This window comes from Homo sapiens, chromosome X (genome assembly GCF_000001405.40).
Source record: "Homo sapiens chromosome X, GRCh38.p14 Primary Assembly".
NCBI classification, from domain to species: Eukaryota; Metazoa; Chordata; class Mammalia; order Primates; family Hominidae; genus Homo; species Homo sapiens.
In genome coordinates, this window is record NC_000023.11 from 53,711,906 (window position 1) to 53,727,142 (window position 15,237).

General features: G+C 46.9%; 4 annotated features.

The window, feature by feature from the left end:
* Positions 379–878: an enhancer, noted in NCBI's record as "H3K27ac hESC enhancer chrX:53739227-53739726 (GRCh37/hg19 assembly coordinates)". NCBI's record gives its function as "activates a minimal SCP1, AML or CMV promoter by ChIP-STARR-seq in primed H9 embryonic stem cells {active_cell/tissue: H9 hESC(primed)}" and the evidence as "EXISTENCE:reporter gene assay evidence [ECO:0000049][PMID:30033119]".
* Positions 2,804–2,853: an enhancer, noted in NCBI's record as "active region_29665". NCBI's record gives its function as "activates an Ori minimal core promoter by ATAC-STARR-seq in GM12878 lymphoblastoid cells {active_cell/tissue: GM12878}" and the evidence as "EXISTENCE:reporter gene assay evidence [ECO:0000049][PMID:35858748]".
* Positions 2,894–3,123: an enhancer, noted in NCBI's record as "active region_29666". NCBI's record gives its function as "activates an Ori minimal core promoter by ATAC-STARR-seq in GM12878 lymphoblastoid cells {active_cell/tissue: GM12878}" and the evidence as "EXISTENCE:reporter gene assay evidence [ECO:0000049][PMID:35858748]".
* Positions 3,901–5,100: an enhancer, noted in NCBI's record as "MED14-independent group 3 enhancer chrX:53742749-53743948 (GRCh37/hg19 assembly coordinates)". NCBI's record gives its function as "activates an origin of replication core promoter dependent on BRD2, BRD4, P300/CBP and CDK7 cofactors, and independent of MED14, by STARR-seq in HCT116 cells {active_cell/tissue: HCT116}" and the evidence as "EXISTENCE:reporter gene assay evidence [ECO:0000049][PMID:35650434]".

Genomic DNA, 15,237 nt, shown 5'->3' on the forward strand with positions numbered 1-15,237 from the left:
AACAACATTTTCTTAGCATTTGGTGATCCCACCAAGTTTTTCATCAATACACATAAGATGTCAGTTTTTAGGTTCTAGGAATAGTACTATAGAACAGATGCTTTTTTTTTTTTTTTTTTTTTTTTTTTTTTTGAGACAGGGTCTCAGTCTGTTGCCTAGGCTGGAGTGCAGTGGCACAATCACAGCTTACTGCAGCCTTGACCTCCCTGGCTCAAGTGATCCTCCCAGCTTAGCCTCTCGAGTCACCGGGGCCACAGGTGCATGCCACCACACCTGGCTAATTGTTTTACTTTTTGTGGAGATGGGGGGGTCTCACCATGTTCCCCAGGCTAGTCTTGAACTCCAGAGCTCAAGTGATCTTCCTGCTTTGGTCTCCCAAAGTGCCGGGATTACAAGCATGAGCCACCGAGCCCAGCCAGGAGCAGATTCTCTTGGCCTTCAGTAGGAGCCCACAAGAAAACCAAGCCCCGTACCTTCCTCACACATGTTAATTCTCTGCCCTAAAGTGGGCAGTCACTCACAAATTTTTGAATTACATAATTGGGGCCAGGCACGGTAGCTCATGACTGTAATCCCAACACTTTGGGAGGCTGAGGAGGGAGGATCCCTTAAGCCCAGAAGTTCAAGACCAGCCTAGGCAACATAGGGAGACCTTGTCTCTATTAAAAAAAAATTACATAATTGAGGCTGGGCATGGTGGCTGATGCCTGCAAATCCAGCACTTTAGGATGTTGAGGCGGGAGGATCACTTGAGCCCAAGAGTTTGAGACCAGCCTGGGCAAAAAAGTGAGACCTTGTCTCTACAAAAGGTTTTAAAAATTAGCTGGGCTCAGTGGCATGCACCCAAAGTCCCAACTACTCAGGAGATTGAGTCAGGAGGATCATTTGAGCCCAGGAGTTTGAGGCTGCAGTGAGCTTTAATGGCACCACTCTACTCCAGACTGGGTGACAGAGTGAGACGCTGTCTTAAAAAAAAAAAAAAGAATTATATAATTGAGCTGGGTATTGAAGTGTGAACTGAGCCACATAATGCTTCCAGATTAGATTGGAGACACTGTGGTCATGTGCCTGCACACTGTGCCACTGTACGGCAATTCACATGTGGAAAGTGGATATTCCAGCACACATATTCTTGTTTTAAAATTTATGTTTAATTAATTAATTTTTTTTTGAGGCGGAGTCTCGCTCTGTCGCCCAGGCTGGGGTGCAGTGGCGCGATCTCGGCTCACTGCATGGTCCGCCTCCTGGGTTCACGCCATTCTCCTGCCTCAGCCTCCCGAGTAGCTGGGATTACAGGAGCCTGCCACCATGCCCAGCTAATTTTTTGTATTTTTAGTAGAGACGGGGTTTCACCGTGTTAACTAGGATGGTCTCCGTCTCCTGACCTCATGATCCACCGGCCTCGACCTCCCAAAGTGCTGGGATTACAGGCTTGAGCCACCGCGCCCGGCCTAATTAATTTTTTTTAGAGGCAGTCTTGCTATGCGGCCCAGGCTGCTCTTGCACTCCTGGCCCCAAGCAATCCTTCCACTTCAGCCTCCCGAGTACCTGAGATTACACGTGCAAATCGACATGCCTGGTTTATATTTAATTTGCATACAGTAAAATTTGCTCATATTAGTGTACAGGTCTATGAGTTTAAACAGATGCCTAGAGTCATAACCACCACCACAATCAAGATATAGATCAGTTTCTTGCCCCTCCAAGATTCCTTTGCCAGCACATATATTTTTGGCCTGCAGACACCCTCTATACCCGCTAAGTCTCAGATGCTCAGCAGCTCTGGTAACATCTTTGGTACAGCCTCGAATACAGCACACTTTTGGCCCTCCCGAAGTGGGCACAGCAGGTAGAGACAAATGGGGAAAGTGGGTCCACGCAGTCATGAGAGGAGGAGATGGCCCCACAGGTTGAATCTCTCCCCAGTCATACTCCCATGGCTGGAATTCAAAGCTCTAGCAAGAGGCAGACCCATTTTGGTCTGGTTTCAGGGCATTGTTAGTGCCTTATCACTTAGAACTAGATTCTATACTGAGGCTTAGAGAGAGAATCAATTGCTTACCAGATTTCAAATGTACCAAGATCAATTTTGAAAGCCTTTCTACTAGTGCACACTGGAGCAGCAGGCTCAATACCAGGCAGTTATTGCATCATCTTAAAAGAAACATTCTCATAATCAATTAAACTCATTACATTTGAATATTCAGTTCCTGCCAAAGCACAATTTAAATCCTCATTTCAAAATAATGTGTTCGCAGAAATCAGGTCTACTACGTAAATGACATCATGAAACTATTTCAAGAAGCATTACAACGTCTTTTGCCAAGGCAAAAGTTATTTGAAAGGGGCTTTCCAGCATTGCTTAGAACATATGTGCTCGCTGGTACTAAACTAGATACTATGGAACAATGGTGGCTAGCCTTACGGTCTCTAATTTTAGTATTCATAACAGAATGGGCATTTACAGAGAATCCCCTTTGTAGATTTGTCATAGAAACTGTCCTTGGGGACAAAGCCCTTTGGGACTTCTCAGAAGTAGGACAAATTCCTGAAGGAGTTACAGGTGCGTATCAGTCTAGAACCTTGATTGCAAGCAACAGAATTGGACTCTAGATGATTTAGGCAGAAAAGGAATTCATTAAAAGGATATTTGGGCAGCTTCCAGAATCAGTAGGCGGGCTGGAGAAGCAGGTTTGCAGCCAGGAACAACACTCAAACCACGCTGCAGAACTGGTCTGGTGAGGAGCCCACTGCAGCAGCACCTCAGAGCACTTGTCTGCAGTTTTCACCAGGGACACCCTGCAGGGAGCTCTATCTTGCTGCAGATGCCAGCACTGCCTTGACAGAGAGACTCTTCCAGGGTCCTTGAATCTTTGTCTTTAACTCCTAAGGCAAAGTTGAGAGTGACTGGGCTGGGGTATGTGCCAGCCCCCTAGCTGTGAGGGAGAGTGAATGTAGAGGGAGGTAGGATCTGCCTCCTTCCAAGAATCATAAGATGGGGAAGTCCCCAACCAGAGGAAGTGGGTTCAAATGTACACCCAAAAAGAATAGCAAATGACCCAGCACAGGCTGACAGTTGGAGGCTGCTTGGTGTCACGTGGCACTAAGTTAGTCATTGCTACCTCATTTGGGGGCAGAGTAGGCTGACCCTGAGCTGAGGAAACTGATCAAAGAAAGAAACAAGAGCTCTGTTTCCCTCCAGAGCCTTAATATTTTGCTGCAAGATTGGAGGAAATTAGAACTGACTAAAGGAGAGGGGAGCTGTACCAGGAGCTTCAGTGCCTGGTACAACTCAGAGAAAGCAATCGGTGTTGTCCTGAGAATACAACTTCCTTGTCTAGAGAGCCTGGCATCCTGACTTGGGTGGTCTGGGGGTGAGTGGGTGGTAGTGGTGGGTGGGGAGAGAGATTTTTAGAGTGACTTGTACTTTTCTCAGCAAGCCATTGCCTTTGATCACTCGATGGGCTGCACCTAAACATAACTGGGGACAAAGTCAGGCACCACAATATCGTTTCTAGTTGCAGTCATTTAGTTCCAAAGATAAGAAGTGTAGATATAACAATTCTAGGGAACTTCTGCTCTAACATTCTTAGTCTATCAACTCTTACCTAGATTCACATTTGCTGACAACAGTACTTGGATCAGCGAGAGTACAGAAGCACAAAATTGAGTCTCACCATCCCTGAAGAGACCCACAACCAGAGGGATTTAACTGACTTTTATTAAACATATTTGGGATGCTCAGATCTGGTCAGAAACAGCAGTGGAACAAATATGAGGCATTCTTGGTACATACCTGAAATGCCACAAGGATGAATTAGTGCCATAGGTTTTGCTGCTGCATCTAGGTGTTTGGATATTACACTTGGCTGCCCACTGATCTCTGATTTGAAATGGGTGAGGGTGGCAAGACTACAGGAAACTTCACTCAGTGTTCAGCCACCCTTGGTCCTACCACTTAGCCATTACTGCTGCTCACTATGAATAAGAAAAAACAAAAGCAAGGGTAACAGCAGGCTAAGGAGACTGAGTGCTGCCGTAAAACTTGGGGCTGCCTGGAGAGCCATCACTAGCTACCTATTTCCTAGCATGTGGTAAGGAAACTTGGGCCTTTCTGCTGTGTACAAGGTGTAGACACAAAGTGGGGCTAATCCAGATAAAGTGATCTACCAAAATAACTTCTTGCTTATAAAATAATTGGTTAGAAAAATTATCCCCACATACTCCAGGGTAGACAGAGAACAACCCCTCCCCACCTCTACCCACTCAGAACAGAAGGCAAGAACAAATCCCTTGAGGGATACAGCTTTGTATGAAATTGAGGAAAACTTCATCTAAACCATGAGAAAGTGAGGGAGTTGGGTAGTGAATTCAAGTAAGAAGAGGGCGACAGCCACCTATCAAGCTGCCTACTCACGTGTAGCCCTGAGGAATCCTGTGCAGCACCCTTTGAACCAAACAATTCATACATGGAGGTAGGCGGGTAAAGCAGACAGTGCTGTCTGGCTGCCCAAATCCATTTCTCCCCCTTCTTCCTTGTTGGCTTGGTCCTGTTGTGGTCATGTGCTTAGGGAAAGGACTCTACCCTTGCCTTGTGTTGCGGTGATGGTGGAATCTTGAATGGTCAATGCCAGTAATTGATGGACTCATGCTCCTTGACAGTGATTGGGTTAGGTATGGGTATGTGACATAGTCCTGGGACCTGAGGGGAAGTCTCTGGGGACTTTTGGGAAAGGGTTTCCTTGTAATAAAAAGAGATTTATGGGAGGAAACTCCCCTCTTCTTGACAGGATGTGGTCTGCATGCAATGCTGGCACTGCTACAGCCACCTTGCAACCAGGAAGCAACATCTGCTGTCAGCAGAGGAAGGCAGAGAAAAAAGAATGAAAGCCCCTGTGCCTTTGATGATGCCATTTGATTGATGATTCAGTCAGCTCTGAAACCACCATGTAGGAATTTTTGTACTAATTCTAGAAAATGACCCATCCCATTTTATCTGGGAAAGGGTCGTGGGATGGAGAGTGAATTGTGTGTGTGTGTGTGTGTGTGTGTGTGTGTAGGCACAAAGATTTTTACTGAGAACATAGTGTAGCAGCAGGTTATGAAAGCTCAAATTTTGGCAAATACCTTGTGGCAAGGAGTCCCTGGGAGTAGGCCGAGATCCTGAACAAAATGAAACATTTACTGGTCCTTCAAGGTAATGAAGACCAGCCACTGGGTGTAGTAATGTAGCTGGTCAGTGGCTTGAGAAGGGCCAGGCTAATGGACCAGAAGGAGTAGTACCATGAGAAACACTGATTTGGACCACAGAACCAAACTTACACCCATGGCCAGGAGCTGAGTCTCAAGGGCATCCATCCCATGAATAGAAACATTATGTTACTTGTGCTTCAAGATCTTGCTACCCACGCCTCTGTGAATACATGAGAGAACTGTTGTCCTTGCTGCACTCTAGGACCTCACCTTATCACTACCCTCTTGTCACATAAATGGAAACAATATGCTGTCTGTGCTTTGAGACCTTGTACCACAGTCATCTAGCCAACGTGTGAGAACTTTTAGCCACAGCACTTGAAGGAGTGCTTTTAGATCACCCTGGACATCTACTGGTGTCAGAGAGGAGCTCCTATGTCTACACTTTGTGACATGGACTGGGACATTTAGTACATCACCAGCTAGGGATAGGGGGCATAGACATTGTTACACCCTTGCAAACTGAAATACTAGGCTGTGATACCAACCTTATTATAAAAAGCAATGGCAGGCTGAGTGCGGTGGCTCACACCTGTAATCCCAGCACTTTGGGAGGCTGAGGCAGGCAGATCACCTGAGGTCAAGAGTTTGAGACCAGCCTGGCCAACGTGGTGAAACCCTGTCTCTACCAAAAACACAAAAATTAGCCCGATGTGGTGGCAGGCACCTGTAATCCCAGCTACTCGGGAGGCAGAGGCATGAGAATTGCTTGAACATGGGAGGCAGAGATTGCAGTGAGCCAAGATCCCACACTGCATTCCAGCCTGGGAGACAGAGTGAGACTCCATCTCCAAAAATAAAAAACCAATGACAATGTGGGTACTAAAACTATATGGCTGGACTTAATTATAAGGCAGTCATCCAAATCTAGAACATGCTTATAATTGTTGTATTTAGATTATTATCAAAAGAAAAATACAAAATTAAAATGTATTTGAAGAATTTATGAACAGCTGAGAATACATTTTTGGATCCCCAGAAGACCATGGACCCTAGTTTGAGAAACATTAGGTTAGGACAGTCTCAGAAGAGATTCTCAATATGAGAAGAAGTAATACTGAAACCTAAATTGGACTTTTCTTTGTGTGACATGAGGAGTGATGACTAAAGGCTTAATCTAATGTTTCTTAATATAGTATGCATAAGAATCACCTACAATGCTTGGTAAGATGTACATTCCTAGGCCCTACTCCCAGCAATTCTGATTCAGTAGTTCAGGCATGAGGTCCAGAAGTGTACATTTTACACAGGTGATTCTGATTCAGGTGTATCACAGATCATACTTTAAGAAACACTGAACCTGCCAACAAGAAATGGGCCACTAAAGTGGATACAGTCCCAAGAAGGAGAATTCTCCCCAATAATCATCTTCCATGGGACCAAGAGGGACAACAGGCCAGAGGAATTCTCCCAAGACAGAGCCAGAGTTGGGAGCAGAGAGATTGGTTGATCAAGGCACTCACTCTACTATCAGGGAAGAGGATCTTTGCTACCCCAGTGTAGTCAGGACTTTGGACTGGTAGTGACTGCTATGTGCTGTTTCCTCTTCCCTTTTCCAAATGGTAGGTGTCTTCTTGTTGTTGTTGTTGTTGGTTTGTTTTCAAATTAATGAACTTTATTTCTAGAGCAGTTTTAGGTTCATAGAAAAATTGAGCAGGAAGTACAGAGAGTTTCCATATACCATCTCATCCGTCTGCCAACTCCAAATGGTAGTTTTAATTTCAGTTATCTGGTTTTCCTTCTACTGTTGTGCACTGTCTATATTGGAGTTTGCTTAAAAGTATAATTTAAATATGGTTTGCCCAACCATGAGGACTGTATCATTTCAGATTTTTTTCAGTTAAAAGTGATAGAAGGCTGGGTGCGGTGGCTCATGCCTGTAATCCTAGCACTTTGGGAGGCTGAGGCTAGAGGATCACCTGAGGTCAGCGGTTTGAGACCAGCCTGGCCAACATGGTGAAACCCTGTCACTACTAAAAATACAAAAATTAGCCGGACGTGATGGTGAGTGCCTGTAATCCCAGCTACTTGGGAGGCTGAGGCAGGAGAATCACTTGAACCCAGGAGACAGAGGTTGCAGTGAGCTGAGATCGTGCCACTGCACTCCAGCCTGGGTGACAGAGTGAGACCCGTCTCAAAAAGAAAAAAAAAAAAAAGTAATAGAAAACCCACCAATACTGGCAAGCAAACAAATATTTTTTAATTTAACAGTTTTCTTGAGATTGAATTGATATGTATTAAATTGGACATATTTAGGTGTCCAATTTGGTATATATATATAATCACAATCAATTTATATATCCATCACCATCTGTATTAGTCAGGGTTCTCTACAGGGACAGAATTTTATGGATAGATGTATATCTGAAGGGAGTTTATTAAGGAGTATTGACTCACAGGATCACAAGGTGAAGTCTTAAAATAGGTTGTCTGCAACCTGAGAAGCAAGGATGCCAGTCAGAGTCCCAAAACCTTAAAAGTAGGGAAGCCTTCTTTTGTGCAGCCTTCAGTCTGTGGTCAAAGGCCTGAGAGCCCCTGGCAAACCACTGGTGTAAGTCGAAGAGTCCAAAGCTGAAGAACTTGGAGTCTGATGTTCGAGGGCAGGAAGCACCCAGCATGGGAGAAAGATGAAGGCCGGAAGACTCAGCAAGTCAAGTCCTTCCATGTTCTGCCTGCTTTAGTCTAGCCGCCCTGGCGGCTGATTAGATGGTGCCTACCCAGATTGAGGGTGGGTCTGCCGATCCCAGGCCGCTGACTCAAATGTTAATTTCCTTTGGCCACCCTCAAAGACACACCCAGGAACAATACTTTGCATCTTTCAATCCAATCAAGTTGACACTCAGTATTAACCATCATACCATCCAAAATTTCCTTGTGACCTTTTTTTTTGAGATGGAGTCTCACTTTGTTGCCCAGGCTGGAGTGCAATGACATGATCTCAGCTCACTGCAATCTCCGCCTCCTGGGTTCAAGTGATTCTCTTGCCTCAGCCTCCCAAGTAGCTGGGATTACAGGTGTGTGCCACGATGCCTGGCTAATTTTTGTGTATTTAGTAGAGACGGGGTTTCACCATATTGGCCAGGCTGGTCTCGAAGTTCCGACTTCAGGTGATCTGCCTGCGTCAGCCTCCCAAAGTGCTGGGATTACAGGCGTGAGCCACCACATCCAGTCCCTTGTGTCCTTTTGTAATCTCTCCCTCTCACCTTTGTCCCTCTGTCCCCATCCACAGAGAATCACTGATTTGCTTTCTGTCTCTATAGATTAATTTGCATGTTCTAGACTTTTTGATAAATTGAATCATGTAGTATAATAAGCAGTATTTTTTGTCTGGCTTTTTTCATTCAGCATACTTTATTATTCTGAGATTAGGTTTATTTATTCCTTTCTTTCTTTTTTTTTCTTTCTTTCTTTTTTTTTTTTTTTTCAGAAACGAGGTTGCCCAGCTCTGGCTGCTCTGTTGCCCAGCCGGGAATGCAGTGGTGCAATCAAGGCTTACTGTAGCCTTGACCTCCTGGGTTCAAGGGTCCCACCTCAGCCTCCCAAGCAGTGGGACTGCAGGCGCACACCACCACGCCTGGCTAATTAAAAAAAATTTTTTTTTTGTAGAGATGGACATCTCGCTATGTTGCCCAGACTGATCCCTAATTCCTGGCCTCAAGTGATCCTCCTGCTTCAGCCTCTCAAAGTGCTGGGATTGCAGGTACCAGCCACTGTACCTGGCCAGTAATTCATTTTATTACTGAGTAGAATTCCACTGTATGAATGTATCACAATTTGCTTATTAATTCGCCTGCTGAAGGACCTTTGTATTGTTTTCAGTTCAGGGTTATTAAAAATAAAGTGGCCATCAACATTCTTGTACAAGTCTTCATATGGAAACATAGTACTTTCATTTCTCTTGGGTAAATTCTTAAAAATAGAACGGTCAGGTCTTTAGCCCTCTCCCTCCCCCTCCCCCTCCCCATCCCCCTCTCCCCACGTTCTCCCTCTCCCTCTCCCTCTCTCTCCACGGTCTCCCTCTGATGCCGAGCCAAAGCTGGACTGTACTGCCACCATCTCGGCTCACTGCAACCTCCCTGCCTGATTCTCCTGCCTCAGCCTGCCGAGTGCCTGGGATTGCAGGCGCGCGCCACCACGCCTGACTGGTTTCCGTATTTTTTTGGTGGAGACGGGGTTTTGCTGTGTTGGCCGGGCTGGTCTCCAGCTCCTGACCGCGAGTGATCTGCCAGCCTCGGCCTCCCAAGGTGCCGGGATTGCAGGCGGAGTCTCACTCACTCAGTGCTCAATGTTGCCCAGGCTGGAGTGCAGTGGCGTGATCTCCGCTCGCTACAACCTCCACCTCCCAGCCGCCTGCCTTGGCCTCCCAAAGTGCCGAGATTGCAGCCTCTGCCCGGCCGCAACCCCGTCTGGGAAGTGAGGAGTGTCTCTGCCCCGCCGCCCATCATCTGAGATGTGGGGAGCGCTTCTGCCCCGCCACCCCATCTGAGATGTGGGGAGCGCCTCTGCCCCACCGCCCCATCTGGGATGTGAGGAGCGCCTCTGCCCGGCCGCGACCCCGTCTGGGAGGTGAGGAGCGTCTCTGCCCGGCTGCCCCGTCTGAGAAGTGAAGAGCCCCTCCGCCCGGCAGCCGCCCCGTCTGGGAAGTGAGGAGCGTCTCCGCCTGGCAGCCGCCCCGTCCGGGAGGTGGGGGGCAGCCCCCGCCCGGCCAGCCGCCCTGTCCGGGAGGGAGGTGGGGGGCAGTCCCCGCCTGGCCAGCCGCCCCGTCTGGGAAGTGAGGAGCCCCTCTGCCCGGCAGCCACCCCGTCTGGGAGGTGTACCCAACAGCTCATTGAGAACGGGCCATGATGACGATGGCGGTTTTGTTGAATAGAAAAGGGGGAAATGTGGGGAAAAGATAGAGAAATCAGATTGTTGCTGTGTCTGTGTAGAGGGAAGTAGACGTAGGAGACTCCATTTTGTTCTGTACTAAGAAAAATTCTTCTGCCTTGGGATGCTGTTAATCTATAACCTTACCCCCAACCCCGTGCTCTCTGAAACATGTGCTGTGTCCACTCAGGGTTAAATGGATTAAGGGCGGTGCAAGATGTGCTTTGTTAAACAGATGCTTGAAGGCAGCATGCTCGTTAAGAGTCATCACCACTCCCTAATCTCAAGTACCCAGGGACACAAACACTGCGGAAGGCCGCAGGGTCCTCTGCCTAGGAAAACCAGAGACCCTTGTTCACTTGTTTATCTGCTGACCTTCCCTCCACTATTGTCCTATGACCCTGCCAAATCCCCCTCTCCGAGAAGCACCCAAGAATGATCAATAAATACTAAAAAAATAAAAATAAAAAAAAATAGAATGGTCAAACCATGTGGCAGGTATATATGTAAGTTTTTAAAAAACAAACTGTTTTCCAAAGTTCCTGTATTATTTTATACTCCATTAGCAGTGTGTGAGAGTTCCAGTTCCACTGATTTGGTTAGCCTTTTTAATTTTAGTCATTCTAATAAGAGGGTATTGGTATTTCGTTGTGGTTTTAATTTTCATTTCCCTAATTCTAACGATGTGAAGTATCTTTTCATGTGCTTAAGTTCCATCTATATATCTTCCTTGGTGAAGTGTCTGGTCAAATCTTTTGCCTGTTTTTTAAAACTGTAATTGGGTTGTTTGCTTTCTATTACTGAGTTTTGCAAGTTCTTTACATACCGTAGATACCTGATGTTGCTTGGATGTTTGTCCCCTCCAAATTTCATGTTGAAATTTGATCCCGGCCGGGCGCGGTGGCTCACGCCTGTAATCCCAGCACTTTGGGAGGCCGAGGCGGGAGGATCACGAGGTCAGGTGATCGAGACCATCCTGGCTAACATGGTGAAACCCTGTCTCTACTAAAAAATACAAAAAATTAGCCAGGTGTAGTGGCAGGCGCCTGTAGCCCCAGCTACTCGGGAGGCTGAGGCAGGAGAATGGCGTGAACCCAGGAGCCGGAGCTTGCAGTGAGCCAAGATCAAGCCATTGCACTCCAGCCTGGGAGACAGAGTGAGACTCTGTCTCAAAAAAAAAAAAAAAAAAAAAGAAAGAAAGAAATTTGATCCCAAATGTTAGCAGTGGGTCCTGGTGGGAAGTGGTTGGATCATGCGGGCAGATCCCTTATAAACTATCCTTGCAGTAATGAGCGAGTTCTCACTGTATTAGTTCCTATGCGAACTGATTTTTTTTTATTATTTATTGATTTTTTTGTTTTCTGTAGAGATGGGGTCTCGCTCTGTTACCCAGGCTGGTCTTGTACTCCCAGGCTTAAGCTATCCTCCCACCTAGGCCTCCTAAAGTGCTGGGATGACAGGAGTGAGCCACTGTGCCTGGCAAAAACGGATTGTTAGAAAGAACTTGGCACGTCTTCTTCTCTCTCTTCCCTCATCTTTCACTATGTGATGCCTGCTCCTCTTTGCCATCTGCCATAAGTGGAAGCTTCCCAAGGCCTTCACCAGAAGCAGATGCTGATACCGTGCTTCTTGTGTAGCCAGCAGAACCATGAACCAGGTAAACCTTTTTAAAAATAAATTACCCAACTTCAGGTATTACTTTATAGCAACACAAATGGACTAAGACAGAAAACTGGTACCAAGAGTGGAATGTTGCTGTAAAGATACCTGAAGATGTAGAAGCAGCTTTGGAGTCAGGAAATAAGCAGAAGTTGGAAAAATTTGAAGGCTTCAGAAGACAGGAAGTCCACGGAATGTTTGGAATTATTAGGGACTGGTCAAGTGGTTGTAACCAAAATACTAGTAGAAATATGGACAGGAGAGGTCAAGCTGACGAAGTCTCAGATGGAAATGAGGAAGTTATTGGGAACTGGAGCAAAGGTCACACTTGTTATGCCTGAGCAAAGAACTTGAGTGCATTATGTCCATGCCCAGGGGCTTTGTGGAAGACCAAACTTAAGAGCAATGACCAGCCGGGCACGGTGGCTCGCACCTGTAATCCCAGCACTTTGGGAGGCCAAGGCGGGCGGATCACAAGGTCAGGAGATCAAGACCATCCTGGCTAACACGGTGAAACCCCGTCTCTACTAAAAATACAAAAAGTTAGCCGGGCGTGGTGGCATGCGCCTGTAGTCCCAGCTACTCGGGAGGCTGAGGCAGGAGAATCACTAGATCCTGGGAGGCAGAGGTTGCAGCGAGCCGAGATCATGCCACTGCACTCCAGCCTGGGCGACAGAGTGAGACTCCGTCTTGGAAAAAAAAAAAGAGCAATGACCTTGGGCTTATGGCAGAAGAAATTTCTAAGCAGCAAAGCATTCAAAAAGCAATGCAGCTGTTTCTAAAAGCAGATGATCATATATGGAAGTAAAAGAATGACTGGCCGGGCTCCTTGGCTCGTGCTTGTAATCCCAGCACTTTGGGAAGCTGAGGCAGGTGGATCACCTGAGGTCAGGAGTTTGAGACCAGCCTGCTAACATGGTGAAACCTTGTCTCTACTAAAAATACAAAAATTAGCTGGGCATGGTGGTGGGCACCTGTAATCTCAGCTACTTGGGAAGCTCAGGCAGAAGAATCACTTGAACCCAGGAGGCAGAGGTTGCAGTGAGCTGAGACAGCACCATTGCACTCCAGGTTGGGTGACAAGAGCTAAACTCCATCTCAAAAAAAAAAAGAAAGAATGACCTAAAGTTGGAACTTATAATTAAAAGGGAAACAGAGCATAAAAGTTTGGAAAATTGCAGCCTGGCCATGTGGTAGAGAAGGAAAAAGCATCTTCATAAGGGAAATCCAAGGGTGCTGGAGAACAACCACTTGCTAGATAGAGGATAAAAGGGAGCCAGGTGCTAATAGTCAAGACAATGGGATAAAGGTCTCCAAGCCATTTCAGAAGACTTCCAGTCCACCCCTCCCATCACAGGCCCAGAGGGCTAGGGAGACAGAATGGTTTTGGAGGCTAAGCTGGGGCACCACTGCCCTGTGCCACTTTCAAACGTTGCTCCCTGCATCTGTGCTGCTGAGACTCCAGCTGCAGCTCAAACAGCCCCAGGAGCGACTCCCACCACTCCAGAGAATGCAAGCCATGAACCTTGGTGGCTTCTATGTGGCGTTAAGTCCACAGGTGCGCAGAATGCAAGAGCCACGGAGGCTTGGCAGCTTCCCCCTGGATTTCAGAGGTTGTATGGAAAAGCCTGGGTGTCCAGGCAGAAGCCTGCCACAGGGGCAGAGCCCCCACAGAGAGACTCTACTAAGCCAGTGCTGAGGGGAAATGTGGGGTTGGAGCCACCACAAAGTGTCCCCACCAGGGCACTGCCTAGTAGGGCTGTGGGAATGGGGCTGCTGCCCTCCAGACCCCAGAATAGCAGAGCCACTGGCAGCGTGCAATCTCAGCCTGGAAAACTCACAGCCATTCAACTTCAACCCCTGAGAGCAGTCACATGGGCTGTGCTCAGCAAAGCCATAGAGGTCGCACTGCCCAAGGCTTTGAGGGCCCACCCTTTGCATCTGTGTGCCCTGAATGTGGGACATGGAATCAAGGATTATTTTGGAGCTTTAAGATGTAATGTCTGTTCTGCTGGGTCTCAGACTTGTGTGGGGCCTGTTGCTCCTTTCCTGTGGCTGATTTCTCCCTTTTGGAATGGGAATATTTACCCAATGCCTGTACCACCATTGTATTTTAGGAGTAAATAACTTGTTTTTGATCTTACCTGGTAGGAACTTGCCTTGAGTCTCAGGTGAGACTTTGCACTTTGGACTTTTGGGTTGGTGCTCAGGCCTGTAATCCCAGCAGTTTGGGAGGCCGAGGAAAATGGATTGCTCAAGTCCAGGAGTTCAAAACCAGCCTGGGCAACATGGAGAAACCCCATCTCTACTAAAAATACAAAAAACATTTAGCTGGGTGTGGTGGTGCACACCTGTAGTCCCAGCTACTTGGGCTGAGGTGAGAGAATCACCTGGGCCCGGGAGATTGAGGCTGCAGTGAGCCAAGATTACACCCCTGCACTCCAGCTTGGGCAACCAGAGTGAGACCCTGTGTCAAAAAACAACAACAACAAAAAACAACCTTTGGTGACTATTAGGAAGGAATTATTGTATTTTGCAATGTGAGAACGACATGAGATTTGGGTAGCCAGGGGCGGAATGATATATTCGGATATGTTAAAATTTGATACCTAATATTGAGGTTGAGGCCTGGTGGGAGGTGTTTGGATCCTGGGATGGCTCTTTATGAGCCATCCTCATGGTCAGGAGTCAGTTCTCGCTGTATTAGTTCCTATGAGTACTGATTGTTAACAAAGAGCCTGGCACTTCCTTCTTTCTCTCTTCCCTCCTCTCTTATCATGTGATGCTGCCCCCTCTTTGCCTTCCTCCATGATTGGGAGCTTCCTGGAAGCTTCCTGAAGCCCTCACTGGAAGCAGGTGCTGGCGCCATAGTTTTTGTTTTGTTTTGTTTTTTTGTTTTTTTGTTTGACAGGGTCTCGCTCTGTCACCCATGCTGGAGTGCAGTGGCATGGTCATAGATCACAACAGCCTCAAACCCTTGGGCTCAAAGGATCTTCCTACCTCAGCCTCCCAAGTAGTTAGGACTACAAGGCACGTGCCACCACACCTGGTTAAATTTTTTGTTTGTTTGTTTGTAGTGACAGCCTTTTGCTATGTTGCCAGGGCTGGTCTTGAACTCCTGGGCTCAAGCAATCCTCCTGCCTCCCAAAGTGCTGGGATTACAGGCATGAGCCACCACGCCCAGCTGAGTGCGCCATGCTTGTTGTACAGCCTGTAGAACCATGAGTCAAATAATCCTCTTTTCTTTATAAATTACCCAGCCTCAGGCATTCCTTTATAGCAACACAGACTAGAACATCCCACTTATCTGCAGTTTCACTTTCTGCAGTTTCAGTTATCTGAGATCAACTGAAGTCCAAAAATATTAAATGGAAAATTCCAGAAATAAACAACTCATATGTTTTAAATTTTGTGCCATTCTGAGTAGCATGATGAAATCTTACGCTGTTCTGTTTTGTC